General features: G+C 38.2%; 1 protein-coding gene and 1 long non-coding RNA gene across 3 annotated transcripts in view, besides 1 other annotated feature; both read right to left on the bottom strand.

The window, feature by feature from the left end:
• KCNK2 (potassium two pore domain channel subfamily K member 2) overlaps positions 1 to 2,866 on the bottom strand; it is a 231,549-nt gene extending 228,683 nt beyond the window's left edge. For both annotated transcript variants that reach the window (XM_017001249.2, NM_001017424.3), the window contains exon 1: positions 2,453 to 2,866. Coding sequence is in view for 1 of the 2 variants with exons in the window: in NM_001017424.3 (NP_001017424.1) it covers positions 2,453 to 2,486 (34 nt within the window). In the remaining variant the exon portion in view is untranslated. The remainder of the gene's footprint in view (positions 1 to 2,452) is intronic.
• A 2,408-nt stretch (positions 2,867 to 5,274) lies between these two features.
• Positions 5,275 to 21,598, bottom strand: part of LOC124904510 (uncharacterized) — a 54,613-nt gene continuing 38,289 nt past the window's right edge. Inside the window, exons 2-4 of the long non-coding RNA XR_007066877.1 lie at positions 20,657 to 20,820; positions 11,007 to 11,123; positions 5,275 to 5,769 (exon numbers count right to left, since the gene is read on the bottom strand). This is a non-coding gene — a long non-coding RNA (uncharacterized LOC124904510). The remainder of the gene's footprint in view (positions 5,770 to 11,006; positions 11,124 to 20,656; positions 20,821 to 21,598) is intronic.
• Positions 6,466 to 6,735: an enhancer, noted in NCBI's record as "active region_2534". NCBI's record gives its function as "activates an Ori minimal core promoter by ATAC-STARR-seq in GM12878 lymphoblastoid cells {active_cell/tissue: GM12878}" and the evidence as "EXISTENCE:reporter gene assay evidence [ECO:0000049][PMID:35858748]".

Raw genomic sequence — 21,598 nt, 5'->3', positions numbered from 1 at the left:
CATTTCACTAGTGGCAGGGAACTCATTCCTCCTGGTGCAACAAATTTTTAGATGGCTCTGGCTATAGAAATTTTGATGTCAAACAAGTAACCAGAAAAAAATATAGCATGCCATAAAAACTAAAGTTATCATTTGTCATCAATAACTACATCCTGATCCTGCTTGTGGGAGGATCTAAACCTACAGGTTTCCTTTTGAAGATAATCCTCAAAATCATAATCATTCTACCATACCTTACTTGGCTTTCAAATTATAATCAGATGGCTTCCTTTTCCTTAAAAAAAAAAAAAAAGACTTAGGACTTCTGTAATATTGTGTCATTTCTTGGTCAAGGTCCCAGAATTTTGCATAATAAATCCAGATGCTTTTAGCCTGAAAAAGTGTTCATGCAGGTTATCAACCAACTTCCTAATTCTTAAAAGAACTTCCAAGCTATTCCTGTAGAATGCCTTGTTTTAATTAGAATTGCTTCTGAAAGATTTGCAATTTGCCTGGATTAATTTACTGTAATAGACTGAACAGAACTGTTGATGGGATAATTTAAATTTATCTATTGTTTTATATGATGTTATATACATTTATATAATATAAGCTTATCCAACGTTAAGCTTATATCCAATGCTATAGATGATTATACAAAAGTAGTTTACCTTAATGATAACCGTTGCTTAGTTGAAGTTGAGGTCAGTTTCTACCCAAAGGATTTCACCACTACTTCTAATCAGATGCAATCAAATCACATATACAGCATTTTTGTTTCCTACTTGTGGCAGCAGAAGGACATGTGTTCAGTTTAGCACATGTCTATACTAAGTGATATGAGAAGAAATTAGAGCACTAGAACAGTGTTAGCTGGCACAAGATAAGATGGAGATGGCATCTGTAGCTTGACCTAACCTCTCCAGCTCTCTCCATACCTCTTGTTTCTCTTCTGCCACTCTAGAAATTTGACTCCAAGAGCTACTCAATTTAACTCCAAGAGCCTTTTGATCTTCACCTTCACCTCTGAGTTTATTTTCATGCCCCTTAAACCTAAAAAGTAGTCTTCATCCCATGAGGACTTGGCCAGTGTCTTGTCCAACCCATCAACCCTCAGCAAAGGGGGCTCCAGAAGTGCTGATCCCAAGTCCCAATGCCACAAAACAGAACCTGGACATTACATACTAATTGGAAATGAGCCTATATATATATATATATATATATATATATATATATATATATACCCACACACATACATATATATATACATACATATATATATACACATATATATACACATATATATACATATATACACACATATATATACATATATATATACACACATATATATATACACACACACACATATATATATACACACACACACATATATATATATATATATATATATATATATATATATATATAGTGAATTGGTCCCCAAACTTAGTGATACCCTTCCAATGTGGAACAAACTCTTCTGTATTTCAAGAGAAAAACAACCAAGAATAGCAATTAGCCAGAAATTTGATTTTTGAGGAAATTCCTTATGGAAAAAAAGTGACACAATGTAATGCCATTATTATATAGTTCTTGTTAAATAGAATTCAATCACACTGAAAGATACATTCATAAAATTAAACCCTGCTGTAAAATGATTACTATACAAACAGGAAACGTGTCCTATTACCCAACACCAGCATTTATTCAGCATTCAAAAAATATTTATTTAGTACATACTATATGACAGGCACTAAAGATGGACTTTGCTACATTTAATATGTACATAGGATTATACTTTTGATGAGTTTTATTCACATTTCTAAGACCACAACAGTATTCTTGTGAAGTGAGAAGTCTCACATAGAGACATCTAAATAATTTCAAATAAAACTACTTGCTAAATAAACTATGGAAATGTAAAAAGAACTTAGGTCTTAGTTCTCAAGATTTAGTTTAAACTATCGTACCTTTTCTTCCCCATTTCCAAGATTCTAAGCCACCTTTTTCCCAATATACACATAAGATTCCCTCAGGAAATAACTAATATTCTAAGTAAACTACAAATAATATGTGTAAATCTGTATATGAACAAATTGATGACAGGACTAACCACAGCATGAAACCAAAGTAAACATAAATTACCAGAATCTAAATGCAATGGAATTTATAGATACACATGTTGATCAATTTTTACATTGCCAGAAGTAACACATCGCAAATAAAAGCCTGATGTAACATGCCTGTTGTATAAAACATGACCGAATTAACGTGCAATTTATTTCAGTGTTGCAAGGTCATGGAAAAAATTCCAGCAACTAACCCTCTGTTGGAACCACCCAATGAGTTTAATTATAGACTTTCATATAATGAAGACTCCTTACATCAAATACTTGCTTGGAAATCTACTCAGCCTACTCTAGAAAATTTGAAAACAAATAAGGTACTTGATTATTGCAAAGATACTCACAGTAGAAATCCCTTTTTGCTCGTGGGTTCATCATTTGGTGATGTTTTCATCAGGAGTCATCATGCTTTTGATCTTTAATGCCGTTCTTCCTCCAAGGTTTCTTGTCCGTAATTTCCAAAACAGAGTCACTTGTACTAACAAGCCATCGTCCCATACTGTTTCCTTTTTGTGTGTGAATGTTACCCTGTAGATCAGTTTCCTGTACAAAAACACTCAAAACGAACAAACGCTGCTGTATGCAAGTGAAATGTGCTACTCAAATCCTCTGTTTTTACAGTCTGGTTCAGGAAGAAATTCCCTGATTAAAATGAGGAACTATATCCCAGTTGTTCCAGAGAATTTAAAAGACAGAAGTTTCTTCCTTATGAATGAGCATATCAAAGTTGCCAGCGTCACTTATTCTCACAAGTTTGTGGCTCAAGCATTTACACACGAAGCATCCACGCACTGTGTGAAGGCTAAAGACCCTCCCAACTGCCACAGTAACAATATCCCAACTATATTTTCAAATCAGGCTTAGTATGCTTTGAAGTACATAATGTTTTCCATTCCCAAAAGGACAAAGAGATCTGCATTGTCAAAAGTTTATTTTTAAGCTCATGTGCTTGCTAAGTGCAGTGGCAAACCGGCTTGGCTTTCCGTGCCTGTAGAACCATTGCTGGAACCTATTAATGCAAACAGATGAATCGTTGGCTGCGTTCCATATAGGCTTTTATTTTTTATCTTACCTTATCTAAATTGCATCGATAATAATTTCTTAAATCAGAAATGTTATCAGATTTCTGAGCATGCTTGTTTTATGATTGTAGAAGCCATGTAAAAAAGTCAAATAAGAGGAAAGTTTTAAATAGTTTTTGCTGAGATAAGAAAGTTAGTAATTAGAGGTAGATGCTGCCTCTGGAAGAAGTTTAAGGGACATTTGGAGACAGTAAAAATGACAACAAATCTTAAGGAGTGAAAAATGAATAAAAGAGAAGAGAAGAGAAAAGGAGAGACAGCAAAAGTGAGAGCAACAGAGAGAGAGAGAGGCCTTGACTATTAGCAATAATTTTTCACATATTTCCTTATTGTTGCTCTGGTTTGTATAACCCCCTACCAGTCTGCTGAACCCACCAAATTTAGCCCACATGTCATCTAATATCAGGCTAAGACTTGTGGAAACACATTATTGCTCTATTAAAGCCATAACAAAATACAGCTGAACATTAGGTAGTGGGGTAGTCCTGAAGTAACACAATCTGTATGATGGAATTTCTAGCCCCAATTTTAAACATCTGGTTTTGATATGGTAATAAATGTGATAATGTACATTAAATACCAGTGTTCAAGTAACATAATCCTTCCATCTGACTGAAATAATGAATACTTTTCAGATCATATGAGAAACAGACACTTATTTTTGTGCACATGCAAAAAATGGCCCTCCCATGGGCACACACTCATGTGCGCGCACACACACACACACACACACACAGCAATAGCACATAAACTGTCAGCTGTTTTTTTCCAGTAATAAGTTTTTACTAGGCCCTTCCTATGCCCTCTTTTCTGGATATCCCTTTACTCAATTGCACTAATCTGTAGGAAATTTGGCTGAGATTGAGAGGAATGGAAAGAGAATTGAAAAATAATAATATGATGTGGACCAGACAGAGATGTGAACCCCTGACCTTTGCCTCATCAGTACTATCTCACACTATAATCTGAAGTACTCAGTCACTGGCAACCTGAAAAAGAAACTAAATCAAATTATCCTTCTCCTGTTATAACTTCATGGGAGTTTCTGTATTGTAAATCCAAATATTACCATAATATAAGACATCAAGTAATGCAGCGCTATAAATGGTGCTAGAGTCCGGAAGTTAAGATCGCTTTAAATTAGCACCTTAGAATTGGGCCAACTGATGGAAAAGTACTATTCCATGAGCATTTGTTGACCTTTTATATTTGTACATGAGAAGGCTGACAGAGGGACTTGAAGGACAGAGAAAGTGTGTGGAAGCTGCTGAGACAACAGTCATGTCGGGAATGACAAATGGTAGATTAGTATTTGGTTGAGAGATAAGGATGAGGCTAATGTTGATTGAGGGCTCCTGTGTTACAAAAAGGGAAAAGGTTTTGTAGTGGTGTATTGCACAATCCATCTCTATTTATCAAACATCTACTATGCCCCAGGCACTGTGTTAAGAATGCAACGTTGTGTGTTAAATGCAATAATATAAATATGTGCAAAGTAGGGAAATAGCAAAGATGAGGGAGGAGTTAATTACATTTGGCAAGATTAAGGGTGAGTTTTAGCTGGACTTGGGAGAGAAACTGGAATTTTACAAGCAGAGGACAGGTGATAGAACATTACAGGTCGCGGAGTTAGCGTATGCAATAGTGAGATGAGTGAAATGGCAAAATTATTCTCAAAAACACAAATAATGTGCATTACTGGATTCTAAAATTCCAAAGCGGGACAGGTGCAGTGGCTCAAGCTTATCATCCCAGCACTTTGGGAGGCTGAGTTCGGTGGATCACCTGAGATCAGGAGTTCGAGACCAGCCTGGCCAATGTGGTAAAACCCTGTCTCTACTAAAAATACAAAAAATTAGCCAGGTATGGTGGTACGGGCCTGTAATCCCAGCTACACGGGGGGCTGAGGCAGAAGAATTTCTTGAACCCAGGAGGCGAAGGTTGCAGTGAGCTGAGATTGTGCCATTGCACTCCAGCCTGGGCGACAGGAGCAAAACTCCTTCTCAAAAAAACAAAACAAAACCAAAACAAAAATAAACAAACAAAAAAACAATAAAATTGCAGAGGACTTCTGGAAATGACAGGATAATTCAGGTTAGTCCCTGTTACTCATGTGATCTATCTAAAGGGAAAAACTAAGTCTTGTATACCTTGATCTCACCTCTATTTCTGGTACATAATGAGTTGACTGATAAACAAATTGCATTGTCACTGTGACCCCCAGCAAGGTGGGGATGAATACATCTTGCTCCAACGGTATTCTGTTCTTTCTCCCAGCAAGGAGTCTTGTTCCAAGTATGTTTGAACCTCAAGAATATTGAAAATTTATTCACTCCCTTGTTTCTTCCTGATGTTCAAAGCTTCATGAGTCAGGTAAATGGTATTTGAAAAAACTGGCACAAAATAAAAACCCCAAGTGCTTTTTCTTCATTTGAGCCAAACCCAAACCTTTTCAAAGGCGTGAAAACATGCAGCCACATTGGTTTGGTTTTCCTTTCCTGGGCTGCTCTCCTTCCTGGTGCTGGCCAGCACCACACAGAAGTCTTGTGACATGAGCCATTTCCACGGAATTTTAAATTCTGCCAAAAACAAGAGGGATTGGAAATTTCGTGAGAATGGTTATTCTTAGGAGATTTCCATCCCAGATTCCTAACTCGTGTGGCTCAGATAAGCATCTAGAATGTACTGCCAAACCTTCTGAGGTCCCCCAATGCACTTATTTCCATTTGCATTTCTACATAAAGACCTCGAAGTAACAGGACATTCAATGGTTTGTTGGAAATATTTTCTATATGCCAGCCCACAATCCTTCTACCTTTGTGGAAATGGGTTTGGAATGCCACTTACAACACAAACATTGGGTTTGAATGTCCCCAGAATATGTTCAGTTTTTAGATGAGACATGTTTACATTCTCCAGAATCTAAACAACCTACCCCAAAGCAACCCTTCAATTATTTTCTGTTCTTTTTCTTCTGGGTGACTTCAAAATATAATGAGAATTATTTTTGGCATATTGCTAAGTGTGTAACTGCACAAGCTCTTCCAATAGGCTCATTTCTCATGAGAAAATTATGTCATAAATATAACCAAAATCTCACTAATTGGGACACTGTATCAGATATTGCTATGAAACACACCTACTACAAAATGGAATGGCTTAGAACAGTAGGCATTTATTGTTGTTCGCTATTCTACAGGTCAACATGACAATTCTGATCTCATCTGGGCTCATTCGGGCAGTGAGTTGCAGGTTGTGTAGGTGATTGCTGATCTTGGCCAAACTCATTAACATGAAACTGAGCTGACTGCAGGCTGATATAAGGTGGCCTCACTAGTACAGGTCTTTCATTTTCCTTGCACAGGCAAGCCCAAGCATGTTCTTAACCTAAGTATGATTTCAAGGCAACCAGAGCCAAGAGGGGAAGTGAAAATGTATGAGCACATTTTAAAGCCTGCGTTTAGGTCAATTTGTTCAGGTCATATTGGCCAAAGCAAGATACAAGGTCAAACTCAGAGTCAGTGTGGGAAGGTACTCACTACCAAGGGATGTGGGCATATATGGAGGCATGGAAAGTTGGAGCTATTCATGCAACCAATTAACCATAGGCACGTTGATGGTAGGAAGCGAGTCATATTCAGTCAGTTGGATGGACCCAGGACAGTATCAAATGCCTCAACATGTGAAACTAGAGTTAGCTTTCAGTACCAGGGCAGAAAAGAGAAACCAAACCCCAAGTTGGAGTGGGTGGGATGTGTCCCAAGAAAGCACAGACAAAACACCAATCTATGACACCTGTGTCAGAAGCTGAGTTAGAGATATGGCCAGACACCACAATGAAGAACATATAATTAGAGCCAAATAAAACCACTCAGAATGGTGGAACCAAAGTTGACAAACACTAACAAGCAGTTAAAAGATGACACTTCTCTGGGATAATTTTAAGAAGGATGGTTGTTTGGGTAGGAGAGCAGTCGCAACATCAATTGCCTACAGGAGACAAGAATGATTGAATGGATTTGATTCAATATAAAAGAGTGGTGAGAATAAGGTCACTGGAGAGCACTGTATTACAGGCACTCCTACTACTCAACTCCAGCCAGTGGTTTCCCTGAAGGACTGAGTGCATAGAATGGCCAGCTCTTAAATTTTTTTAAAGAAGCCTGAAATTTTATGTAATATTTCCTGATTTTTAAAACACTTTGAAAAACACCTGTAGGCATGATTTACCCCATAGGCCACCAGTCTGGAACTCCAGACTGTAGAGGTTTCATTTCCATGGGGCAACCTCTATCTACCTTAAACTGGCTGTCCAAATTCCTGTACTAGGACTGACATCAATAAATAAAAACAGTGATCGCAGCATTCTTGAGTACCAAACACACAATTAAAGACTTCTAAAAGTACTTTTATCTCCCCAAACCTTTTGCATTTCAAGAGTTTGCATTCTTCCATTCTCTATATGAAACTTGGTTGGGTACTTCCAGAACTCCACCCCAAACCTAATTGCCCTTTATTTTTAAAATCAACTTACTTTTGACATTTGCTCACATATTAAATTTCTGTTTATAACTATTTTGGTCTAACAATTGTATTTTGATCTCTTACAGTTTTAATTTCCAGAATGCAAACTTTTTCCTACATAGATCTCTTCCTATAGCATCTGGAAAATATATTTATAATTAAGTATTCACAACTCTTGGTCTTGTATACCAAAAGTCTGTTATCTATATTGCAGTTTTCTGAATTTTAAGTTTATTGATTCAGCTTCTCCACTTGCGTGGTTGGTTCCTTGGTTCTTTTTGTTTATTCTCTAGGCAACCTAGAGGGAAGCTCTTTGAAATCCAAAGATCTATTTCTTCTGCTCTGGGAAGAAATCTCATCCTAGGCATTTTATTCTTGGCATTTTGGGGAAGACCATCCTGTCTATTTCCAGGAAACCATTATTTTACTGCAAGTGGTTAACCCAAGGGCAAAAATAGGGAGGTAAAGATAGCTTTCGTTAGCTTCCTAAACCAGGTCTTCTAAATACATCTTTATTATTCTGTATTTAGGCTTTTACTTGGATCTCAATAATAACAAACACAAATTCCAAAGCTTGATATATTTTGTATTCTATACAAGCTTATATACAGCTCTGTCTTCACCATTAACGCAGATATTTGAAAATATATATTATGTTGTTACTATAGTTATTGCTGTGTCTAGATACATACACTTGTGTTGTGTCAAACACACCTTATGGCCTTACATATTCTCTTGACCTCACCTACTTCTCAGACCCTCAGCAACTTCCTCCATCTCAGCCACTGACCTGACACCTACCTTTGAGACTGCTGCATGGTTTTATACCTGAGGCCAAACAAGTAACATTTCTGGAGTCCCTGGTTCCTCCAATCACTTCCAAACTTAGATTCCAGAAATACACACCACATGGAGTAGGATCTGGCTTCCCCAAAGCTGCCAAAGGACAAACTAATGCAACTTCTTAAGTGTTGGGGAGACAACTTCCAGGGGGCAAACTTTCACCCACAACAAGCAGAAGACGGAATAGAGATGGCATACAAGTGTCATCTCACTTCTTCCCCAGATGGCTGTTTAGATGCAGTTTTGCCACACCATTTGTACAAACAATGCCACACAGGCCAAGCAGGGATGCAGCTGACGATGGCAGGACTGTGTCTCTTTGTGGATCTTTGTGAAGCCATGGTCAGCATGGTAACACACTGTCTTGTATTTGCCTCCCACTTTTCTCTGCCTCATTTTCCTTTCCCTTACTCTAGTCATCTTGGGATTCTTTTCCCAATAAAGCATTAGCATTTAACTCTTGTCTCAAGCTCAATTTTCAAAGGAGTCCAGGTAAGACATCTGTGTGTATATATGTATGTATATAATTCTATACATATGGTTAGACATAAGTACTTTTATATAAAGAGAGAGATGTATTTATATGTAATTATATAGTGATATATATACATGATGTCTTATATGTATAATCATTTATTTCCCTTTGCTATAGTATACAAAATTTATACCATGTAAAATTGTTAAGTACTGTATGGAGATGTTATGAAGTAAGATATTAAAATGAAAAATTTATGAACCACAGAAGCTCCAGAGTTTTGGGGGGTTTTTTTGTTTTTTTGTTTTGTTTGTTTTTTTGACGGAGTCTTGCTCTGTTGCTCAGGCCAGAGCACAGTGGCGTGATCTTGGCTCACTGCAACCTCCGCCTCCAGGGTTCAAGCGATTCTCCTGCCTCAGCCTCCTGAGTAGCTGGGACTACAGGTGCGTGCCACCATGCCTGGCTAATTTTTGTATTTTTAGTAGAGATAGGGTTTCACTATGTTGGTCAGGCTGGTCTGGACCTCCTGACCTCAAGTGGTCTGCCCACCTCGGCTTTCCAAAGTACTGGGCTTACAGGCATGAGCCACCATGCTCAGCCAGTGATTTGATTTTCATCGTTCTTATTTCTGATTTCTAAAGAAGGGCATACACATTAGTTTGCCGGCTGGCAGTTCAGTATTATTGATCCAAATCAGGATCATTTACTTAAATTTTATGCCCATTTATGGTTCATTTTTAGGAATTAGACCATTTGTACTTGGTTGTTCCCTATCTGTGGTTTAAGAATAACTTAATATTCATTCATAAACTACAGTAGAGTCAACACACTTCAAAACAATTAGGCCTGTAATCCCAGCTACTCGGGAGGCTGAGGCAGGAAAATCGCATGAACCCGGAAGGTGGAGGTTGCAGTGAGTCAAGATCACGCCATTGCACTCCAGCCTGGGAAACAAGAGTGAAACTCCATCCCCCACAAAAAACAAAAACAAAACAGTTAGGAGTGAACCATGATCTACACAGCCTTGAGATATATTCCATCATCTAATTTCAATCATAACATTGTAACACTTACCAACCAGAGGAATTAGAAAAGCTACCAAGACAACCTTTTTGATGAGGAGTCTTTTTAGAATTGTTGATCCTAGGCTGTCAGCCTGAGCGTGCCTCAAAGCGTAAAATCAAGGCAGAGGCAAAGCCACCTCTGAGGTAAAGGGAGAAGAAATTGGGTCTCTGGCCCTCTGAGGGCAGAAGCATCACTGGGAAGATGGCACCCTGAGTGTCCTAACAATTAGTCCTTCCAGGGGCTGGAGGCTTCTGAGCCCAGTGTGCCCCTTTTTTTCTGGACTTGATCTAGGGCAGCCCAATGAAAGAAGAGAACCTATGACATAGAGAGAGAGAGTCCAGGGGGAAAAGGGGAAGAGATAGCGTCTGTGACTAGATCAGGGCCTGGCGCATAATAGGCATGTCATGAAGGTTGTATTGAATGGATTACCTAATCTTAGGTCTATGTGGGCAACTTCCACATGCCGTTGAGCAAGTCACTTGTCACTTCCTCACTTTGAGCCTTAGTTTCTCCATCTGTACAGTGAGGATAATAATAATTCTTACTCAGGATAATTTCAAGGATGAAATGCAATAATAATATGACATCAGCTTGTGAATTCCAAAGGACTTAACAAATTCAGAGGTCAAAAGATAGAAAGCTGCATCCAGGTTGCTTTCTTCCAAATAATGCACAGGTTTTATTATTTGTCATACTTTGGCTTTCTCCCCAAAGCAAATCCTGAGATAAGGACTTGTCTGTAGATAGTCAATTTGAGGAGTAATTCCAAGGAGCAGGAGAGAAGGAATGGAAAGAATAATGAAAAAGGGAAAACCTAATTTTTTAGTAAGTCACTGCTATGGGTAATGAACACTTGGTCTTGCTGGAGGCCTTATGAAAAGCTTATTATTGCCTTTTAGAATTGTTCACCTGAGGATCAGCTTGGGAATTTATTCATCTGCTCCCACATTCCCTAAGGGATGCCCCGAGGTGTTCATCTGCTCACTTCTAGGTACAAACAAATTTGACAAGTGAGTGGTCCTCTACCTGTAAAAAGAAATGTACACATAAGAGAAAATACTATTGTCATTAGGTGTGTTGAAGTCCACATTGAAGTGAAGCTGAGAGGATGTGAATACAAGCATCAGAGAGACCAGATACCATTTCATTAGTTAAAAACCAGGGTCGATTTTCTCTTTAGCACTCTTCTACTTAATATAGCATTTTATTTATTTATTTATTTACTTATTTATTTGTTATTTATTTATTTATTTTTATTTGTTTGAGATGGGGTTTCACTCTTGTTGCCCAGGCTGGAGTGCAATGGTGCATTACTGGCTCACTGCAACCTCCGCCTCCCAGGTTCAAGCAATTCTCCTGCCTCAGCCTCCCAAGTAGCTGGGATTACAGGCATGGAGCACCACTCCCGGCTAATTTTTTTGTATTTAATAGAGATGGAGTTTCACCATGTTGGTCAGGCTGGTCTCGAACTCCTGACCTCAGGTGATCCACCCGCCTCTGCCTGCTAAAGTGCTGAGATTACAGGCGTGAGCCACCACGCCCGACTATATAATTTGAATTACAGTATAATTCAGACATTTTTCTGGACCCACTTCCCCACAGAAATTTTATTGAACTTTACCTCAAATCCAGTGCTATACTTTTGTGAAAGCCCGAAGACGCACAGCATTGATTTGTGGGATTTAGTAGCTCTAATGCCTAAAGGATCATAAGAGCGACACATCTCACATTGCTTCACCATCTGTCATCTTGGCCACTCCACTCCAGACATTGCCTCTCCTTATCCTACATCTTCAGTGCTGTGAAGAAATGTGGCCCATTTTCTCTCTCATCTATATGTAGGCTTTGAGAGCTTAGTTTTTCCTAATGAAATTGTATTTTTACCTATAGGAAATTCAGTTCTCATATATGCTACTAAAACATTTTTTCTCCCTATTATGAAATAAGAACATAAATTTTGTTCTATGAAATTTAGTAAAACTATTTTTGAGTCAAAAAATATGATCATAAACACTTTATTTTTCCTAAATTATCCCTTGCACAAAATATAACACCCATGGTAGACTAGCTCAATTTCCCCTTTTATTAATAGATGCTTTCTTAGCTCAAAGCATTTTCCCCCTTTGAAGTTATTACATTTATAACTTTCCTTTCAAATGATGTTTGATTAATGTATGTCCTTCATCACTAAATTCTAAACTCTAGCTTGGTCCTAGTTGTCACTGAATTATCAGCACCTGGTCATAGCCTGGTACCAAAGTAGACGATCAATATACATTTATTTGTTCAGCAAATGGATGAATGAAATTATATCTGAGAACTTATTAATTTCATCTTACATAAATGTGAGAAAAAAATTATAGAGGGAAGAAAAACCCCACAAAACTCCAAGTCCCAGAAAAGAGAAACATCTTGCCCAAGGCCACACAACTAATTTATAGCAGAGCGATTTTAGCAAGTTTGCCTCAGCCGTCTTACAGCCTGTAACTTAGGACTGCAATCTAGTTTGATATTGCCTAACAGAACCGCTATTATAAATCTCCTGCTTTTTCTTAGAGCCATACGCTTAGTTGAAGAAATATCAAAGGAACCTGGTCTCAGCATTCCCTGAATCTTATTTTCCTGTTGAGAGATACTAAGTAAGTTTACAGCTTACATTGAAAAATGGCACTTTGGGCCTATGTTCCTCTTTTGAAATCATTGCTTTAAAATGCGTCTATTTCCACAGGAGCTTTCAGTGACTATGGACGAGAATCATTCCCTGCATCTAGCAAAAATCAACAAATCTGATTCTCACTTCCCAAGAACACATGACAAAAAATTCGTGCTGGTGTGTAAGCACCCACAGAGTCTTGTAAAAACCACTAAGCAGAGTGTCAATCCCCTTGGGCTCCCAAAGGGTCCCAGAAATTCATGTAAAACTAAAAGAGGAGTAAAGAAAATCTGACTTTATTTTAACACATCTTAAAATAAGTTAGATTAAAATACAAACTTGCACTTGGAGACCAAGGTTGGATACATTTTTTTTATTTTCTTGTTATTATTATTTTACTTTTCTATTTTCTTATTTTTTTCTAGTGCAAATACATAGGTGGAACTGCCAGTGTGAATAGTTTTGGCACCCAGGAGGGTGAGCCTGTGGCTTCAGGGTCCAAGTTGAATATACATCTGCAGGCAAGGTTTGGGAAGGATCAGGAAAGGGGAATCAAAAGCTTTTGCTGAAGGCCTGGAATTCAAATTGATGTGACTACTCAAGTATTTTGCCACTTGTTTCAAAATATAGACTTCAAACAGGAAAGTCCTCCCACATTTGTTTATCCTTAATGTGTTTCTGTAAGACTTATATCTGTCATCTGTTATATCTGTTATCACCCAACATTCAAGAAATGCAATAAAACTATTTCACACACAGCAAGGGAGGCCATGCTCTGATAAGGGTATAGAGATTATATTAGATTAAATACGTTAATGTTACTTCCTAAAAACTTGCTTACACATTTTGAATGGTAATTATTCTATAGTATAATAAACCTCAACAGAACCCCTGTAGCATAAATTCCAAATTAGTGTGGCTAAAGTCAATGGCATTTGCTATGAATAGACTGGTAAATAATCTCTAGCAAGTGATCTCCACCTGTGATCTCACCATTTATATGCAAAACCATTTAGAGCATAGTGAGGTGCTTGAATTCTCCTAAGGATGCCATAAATAATTTCTCACTGGGAAAGATGGCTTAAGGCAGCGGTCCCCAACTCTTTTGGCACCAGGGACTGGTTTTATGGAAGACTGTTTTTTCCACTGACCGTTTGAGGAGGGGATGGTTTTGGATTGATTCAAGCACATTATATTTATTGCGTACGTTATTTCTATTATTATTACATTGTAATATACAATGAAAGAATTATACAACTCACCATAATGTAGAATCAGTTGGAGCCCTGAGCCTATTTTCCTGCAACTAAGCGGTCCCATCTGGGGGTGATGGGAGACAGTGACAAATCATCAGGCATTAGATTCTTATAAGGAGTGTGCAACCTAGAACCCTCACATGCACAGTTTACAATAAGGCTCACACTCTTAGGAGAATCTAATGCCACAGCTGATCTGACAGGAGGCAGAGCTCAGGCGGTAATACGAGTGATGGGAAGCAGCTGTAAATATAGATATAGATCAAGTATATATAGATATGAACATAGTAATATAGATACAGTAAATATAGACATAGATGTAGTAAATATTGATGAAGTTCATTCATCCACTGCTCACCTTCTGCTGTGTGGCCCAGTTCTTAACAGGGCATGGACCAATATTGGTCCATGGTCCAGGGTGTTGAGAACCCCTGGTTTAAAGTTTATAATGAAAAAAAAATCAGAGCAACCTCTGTCTGCTACTACAGAGGATAGGATAATTTCTCTTCCCTTCATTTTTTTCTTTTTCTATACTATACCTTGGCTCTTGAAGCCAATGGTACCTAAAAAGCAAAACAAAGCAAAACAACTATAATGGCCCTGCTTTGTAATTTCTTCCATATGTTTGACATGCTTCATAAAATAATTCCACATTAGTTTCTCCAGCCTAGTGTTTGGATCATGACATCTGCTTTTTCCTGTGTTTTCATGATTCATTATGGTGTCTGTACAAACTTGCTGTATAATGTTAAAAGGAATTTGCTTAGATTCCCTTTTCCTGGAATGTTTCCTGGTATCTTGCAGACCCATCAGGTTTCCTGTCCATGGAAGACCTGACAATGCTACTATCAAGCCTAGCTCTGCCACTTACTAGTGTATGAACTCACACAAGTTGTTTTGTCTCTCTAGACCTCAGTTTCTGTATCTGTAAAATGGGGATGCTAATTATAATAACTATTTATAGGGTTTGGGGAGGGCTTACATAAGTTGTCATATGTGTATGACACTTTGATCAGTGCCTGAGCCATAGTCAGTGTCGGTTGTTCTAGTTATTAAAGCCAAAGCACAAGAGATATCCTCTTACCCTACCACACCTTTGCTGGGTTTATTTATTCATTCAACAAATGATTATCAGGTGCCAATGGATACAATCAACACCAAACAGAGTCATATTGGAATTTGAGGTGAAGGAAATTGGTGATACTGATCCAATTTTACTCAAAATTTGGGTATGATGTTATCGCAGATTTTTGCATTAATTTTGACTTTTTAAAAATCTTTCATTAAAATATATAATCTATCTTGATTATGGAGTCCTTTGGCCTTGTTCTTCTACCCACCGCCAATCCCAAATTTATTTTTATGCCCAAAACAAATACTTTGCTTCCCTCACTTAGTCCTTGCCCTAGACAGTTGTAAGCAAAACAGACCCAGATGCAGTCCTCATGTTGCTAAGAAACAAGAGGGAGGCATAGGCTTTAACAAAGTTATCACAAAAACACGTAAATTCTTTGTTAAAAGTACAAGAATTTTAAATTATTCCTTAGACCTGTGGATGAGTGGAAATACTTTTTTTGAAATGAAGAGCTCACGTTTTTCATTTTTGTTTTCCAATAAATACGCATGAAGTCCCTAGCATGTGCCAGGCACTGCTGTAGATGCTGGGATACAGCAAAAGTGGCACGATTTCCACCTTGCTCAAGTTTATATTCTAGTAAGGAAGAGAGACAATGAGCAACACAAGTAGATAAAATGAACCGAATGTTGTATAGTGCTGAGTTGTAAGGCAAGAAGAAAATAAATGAAAGGCAATAGGCCGGGCACGGTGGTTCACATCTTTAATCCCAGCACGTTGGTAGGCTAGGGCAGGCAGATCACTTGAGACCAGGAGTTCGAAACCAGTGTGGCCAACATAGTGAAACCCTGTCTGTACTAAAAATGCAAAAATTAGACAGGCGTGGTGGTGGGCGCCTGTAATTTCAGCTACTTCAGAGGCTGAGGCAGGAGAATCCCTTGAGCCTGGGAGGGTGGAGGTGGCAGTGAGCCAAGATTGCACCACTGCACTCCAGCCTGGGTGACAGAGTAACTCGGTCTCAAAAAAAAAGAAAAAAGAAAAGAAATGAAAGGGAGAGTGAAACTGCAGCGGAGAGAATTATAATGTACGATAACATGCCATCAGAATTGTGATCTTTGAGTAATGACTTCAGGGACATGAGGAAGGAAGCAATGTGAATACCTGGAGGAAAACACTCCAGGCGAAGAGAGCAGCAAGTGTAGGGAAAACCACCTGGAGTGGAATTATATGTCTGGAGTGTTTAAGCAAATGGCAAAGAGGTTAGTGTGGCAAGAACAGTGTGAGTAGGAATTTAGATCCAAAAGATAATCGTGGGCTCATCATGGAAGAGTTTTTAAATCATTATAAGGGCTTTGTTTTGTATTCTGAGCTAGAGACGACATCGCTGAAAGGATTTGAGTCGAAGAGTGATAAGATTTAACTAAGGTTTGGCAGGATCAATCTGGTGCTGTTTATTCTCAAATTAACTCCATGGGACAAGAGAAGAGGCAAAACCAGTTAGGAGGCTCCTACATGATCCAGGCAACATTAATGATGGCGTGGAGCAGAGTAATGGCAGTGGAGAAGATGTTAAGTGGTCAAATTCTGGATGCATTTTGACGTAGAGCCAACAGAGTTTGCTGTCAGCTTGGACGTGGTGTGAAAGAGAAAAAAAAGCCAAGGGTAACTCAAGGTTTCTGGCCATTGCTCATGGAAGAATGAGGTTACCATCAACTCAAATAGGAATGACCATAAAGAAGGAGGTATGGGTTGGAATATACAGGAGCTCCATTTTGGATGCCTATTAATCATCAAAATGAATATGGTGAGTAAATATTTGAGTGTCCGTTTGAACTCTAGAATTCAGGGTGCCAGTTGGGTCTAGGGACAGAAATTTGGGAGTCATCAACATATAGATGGTATTTAAAGCCATGGTAGTAGACAAAACCATGTAGGAATGGGCATAGAATGAAATAGAACATGTTTAGTACTCAAATACATGAGAAGGTACTAGCAAAAATGACTGAGTTGAAGAAAAATTGAGAGAGTGTGGTGACTTGAAGTTATGAGAGAAAGAAAGAAAGTGTGATAAATTATCAGATGCTGCTGGCAGTTCAGGTAGGATGAAGGGCAAACATCACTCATTGGATTTAACAAAGTGAAGTGATGGTAAAAGCAGTTTTAGGAAAGAAGTATCAGTAAAAGTCTAGTTTAGTGGGTTCACAAAAAAAAGGGAGAATTTTTGGAGAATTTCTTAGAGTTCTGCTGCAAAAGGAAGGGGAGAAATGGAAGAGTGAGTAGAAGAAAAAGGAAGTTCAAGAGAAGGATTTTTTTAAATTTTTGTTTGGTGTTTTAAGATGGGAAAAATATTACTTTGTATAGGGAGCAGAGGATAATGGATAATGATAATTAAGAAGACATAATGGGTAGTAAGACTGGTCCAGTAATGACGACGATGATGGTGATGATGATGATGTGTGTGTGCGTACATTGTGAGGAGGGAGAAAAAATGTCTAAGAGAGGAAATGATGAGTAAGAACAACATTCCACACCCACCAAGCCAGTGGTTCAAGGAATGCAAGTGAGACATCCCCAGAGTTTCTGACACAGCAGATTGGAGTGTGGTCTGAGAACTGACATTTCTAACAAACTTCCAGGTGATGTTCAAGCTCATCTTCCTTGAGACCAAATCCACTGCACTGAATCAAAAAAAACCAAAGTACTGTTCACAGAAAAGATTCTTTAAGTTTGTAGCTTTTACAGTTTGGAATCAGCTAAACTCTGGTCCATGTAAAAGTAACTCCAATTTTCATTGACTTTTAAGAAAATGTTTAAAAATTAATGTCTAGATGATGGGCACAATGGCTCACATCCATAATTCCAGGGGGCTGAAGTAGGAAGATCACCTTAGCCCAAGAGTTCGAGACCAGCTTACACAACATAATGATAACCTGTCTCTACAAAAAAAAAATTAAAAAATGAGCCAGGCATGGTGGCATGAGCTGATGGTCCCAGCTACTCAAGACGCTAAAATGGGAGAATCACTTGAGCCCAGGAGATTGAGGTTACGGTGAGCTGTGATCATGCCACTACACTCCAGCCTGGATGACATGGTGAAACTCTGTCTCATAAAAAAAAAAAATACTAAAAAAATTGTTTTTATTTTTCCATGTTCCTTTATACTACTTGTTTGTAAGAATGTTCACTACATAGTGTAGATATAACTATATGTTATTTCAAATTGAGAGCAGAAATATATGCCTTCTTAACCATATTCCTAATATTCTTCAGCACTTCACTTGTTTTATTCATTTCTTTTAATCTGTTCCATTCATCTTTAACGTTTTACTTGAAGCCAATGTATTTGTTCAACAATTTATTCAGCAGATATTTACGGAACACCTATTAAGTATCAGCAACCATTCTAAAACCTAGGGTGCAGCAACAAACAAAAACTTCTGGCCTTTGGAAAACTACATCTCAGTTTGCATAGGAAGAGACAACAAACCAATAAATAAGTAAATTTATATAGTAATTCAGGTAGTGATAATATTGACAAAGGTTTAAAAAAAAAGGAGGGAAGGGGGATAGGGATGCAAGGAAAACTAAGATGGGTGGTCAGGGAAGGCTTCACCAAGAAGATGATATTTCAGCAAGAACAGGAAGGAGGTAGGGAGGTGATATACTCAGGGAAAGAGAATCCAGGCAGGAAATACAAAGCCTCAGAGCTGGCAGCATACCTCCCTTGCATGCTTGAAGAAAAGCAAGGCATCTACTGGAATGGACAGAGAAGAGGGGGAGGAATAGAAAGATCAGAGAGGCAATGGAGGTCACCTCAAGGGATCATGTAAAGTTTTGCTGGCCATTGAGATGGTTTTGGCTGCTACACTGGGTGAATTAGGAAGCCAGTGGAGGGTTTTAAGCATAACACGATCTGGTTTGCCTTTTAAGAGGATCCCTCTGGCAGCTGCCTTGTGAATAGAACATGAGAAGCAAAGTGCACACACAGGGTGACTGTGAGGAGAAGGCTGTGATAATTCCAGCAGGAGATGATAGTGGCTTGGAGGGTAATAGCAGTGAAGACGCTAAGAAACATTCAGACCCTGGGTAGTTTTCGAGGGTACAGCCAGCAAGATTTGCTGAGGAATTAGATGTGAGATGTGGAAGAAAGAGTCAGGGATGACGGCACATTTTAAAGCCTTGTTGAATGAGGTTGTCATTTACTGAAAGGTTCTGTAGTTGCATTTTGGATGTGTCAAGAGGGTGCTATCTAATATGCCCACCAAACACACAAGAGGCAGACAGTTGGATAAACAAGTCTGAAATTTGGGGAACATTCTGAAATGAAAATATTAATTTTAGATTAATCTGTATTGAGATGGTATCAAAAGCCATGAGATGAGATGAAATCACCCAGGGAGTGAGTATAGAGTGATGAGTACAGATAGAGAAAAGAAGTAATATAAGAATTGTGTCCTGGATCTTCCATCATTTTAGAGAATGAAACAACAAGAAGGAACCAGCAAAGGAGTCTGAGAAGGAGTGGCTACGAGGTACTGGGACAACCAGGAAGGCATGGTGCTCTTGAAGCAAAGTCAAAATTATGCCTCAGTGGTAAGGGAGTAATAGGTTGCCAATAAGAATACGGATCATTTTGAGAACACACGGATACAAAGAGGGGAACCACAGACAAGGGCCCCCCTGAGGGTGGAGGTTGGGAGGAGGGAGAGGATCAAAAAAAATAATCTGTTGGGTACGAAATAATCAGTACAACAAATGAAATAATCTGTACAACAAACTCCTGTGACACGAGTTTATTTTATAAGAAACCCACACATGTACCCTTGATCCTAAAGTAAAAGTTTAAAAAACTGTTGAATCATTTGCTTTTCACATGTATTGCATATAATGTTTCTTTTCTGGGATACACAGAAAACACACCATTACTCAATGACTGGGGTCCAAAAAAATGCAATCACATAAAATATAGGATTGCATTATTCTATGGTAAATGAAAAATATTCCATATCGATTTGTGTGTACTTTCATAAAACGCACAAGAGTTCAGATAGTACAATTTGCTTGGTATGAAATTGACTAAACACAGAACTCAAGAAGTCCCTGAAGATCTAGAGGCATTCACTTCCTAACTGTTCCTCTCTCCCACATTAAGAGAAGGAATATACCTGCCCACATTTAGGGGTGAGGAATCTAGAGCCAATCCCCAGTGTCCCAATGTCATTATCATAGAAATGTACTTTATTTTCATTGAGTCCCTGAGATAGATCCACTGATTCTTATTCCCACCTTTTTTTTTTTTTTTTTTTTTAGTTATTTGTTTGGTTTTTCTGGGGAACATTCTCAGCAAAGTCTCCAGGACATAAACTTTCTGAGTACTTACCTGTGTGTCTGAAAAGGACACCTGTTTATTAATTTGTGATACCTGATTTATTTCACAGGCCATCACATTTTAAATTTCAAATAATTCTTCAGAACCTGGAGGACTGCTGCTGCTAGTAAGAAAGATTAGGTACTTTTTGTTTGTTTTAAGTTATGTTTTACTTTCCTTCATCAGGTATTTTGTCACTTCTCTTACCCTTGTTGCTGTGTCTAGATGTCTCCCTTCATTCCACATGGCTCTCAATGGTCCTCTTTCAAATTAAAAATCTATGTCATTCTTGAGTCTTGAGAAACTGTCTTCTATTATTTCCTTGGTAATTTTCTCCCTTTGCTTTTCTGTATTCCATTCTTCTGGAATTCCTATGAATTGGATATCGAAGTTCAATACTGATCCTCTGTATCTCTTATCTTTACCCATTAGAATATTTTCTGTTTCTCTATGCTTCTTACTTTCTGGGTGATTTTTGTGCTTTTTATGCAAATAAGCTCAACATGGCATTTAGGGTAGATTGCCTTCATTGAGGTAGATATGATTTTATAGAATTGAGAAAATTATTGTCAATCACAAATGATAATCTAACTCATTTCTCTGTGAACACATTTTGTAGATATTTGGTGAACTCCCAGGGAGAAAACATGACTCTATACCCACTTAATGTGGTTTTCAGATATGCCATGACTTTTTTGCTCATATTTCATCATATCAACAAAACACGTCTTCTTTAAAAATACTTAAAGTAAAGCTAAAAAATGGCAAACAATTGACTCTCACCTTGAAGTGGAGGGTGAAAAAAAAAGACATAAAATACCTACTAAATAGGTGATTGCCAAGAACACACTTTAACAAACTCTAATTATACCCTAAATCTTGGCATCCATTTCTCCTTAAGAGAACCTAGGAAAATTCCATTTCTATTTCCATGGCTCTGAGAAATTTGTGTTTCTGCAAGGACAATCTGATATACATACACACACACACACATGCACACACAAGAACCACTCTCTCTCATTCTGCTGCTCCACTGAAGTTTCATCAGGGCTTTCCAGTTTCCTGCAAAGTGTTCTACATGAAGGTATCTTGTTGCCTTTTCAGTAATTATTTGTAGATTATTTGTAGTGTCAACCAGAGTCTTTGCAT

This window comes from Homo sapiens, chromosome 1 (assembly GCF_000001405.40).
Source record: "Homo sapiens chromosome 1, GRCh38.p14 Primary Assembly".
Taxonomy (NCBI): domain Eukaryota; kingdom Metazoa; phylum Chordata; class Mammalia; order Primates; family Hominidae; genus Homo; species Homo sapiens.
The sequence above is the reverse complement of the archived record's forward strand: the minus strand, read 5'-3'. Positions and strand labels throughout refer to the sequence as shown.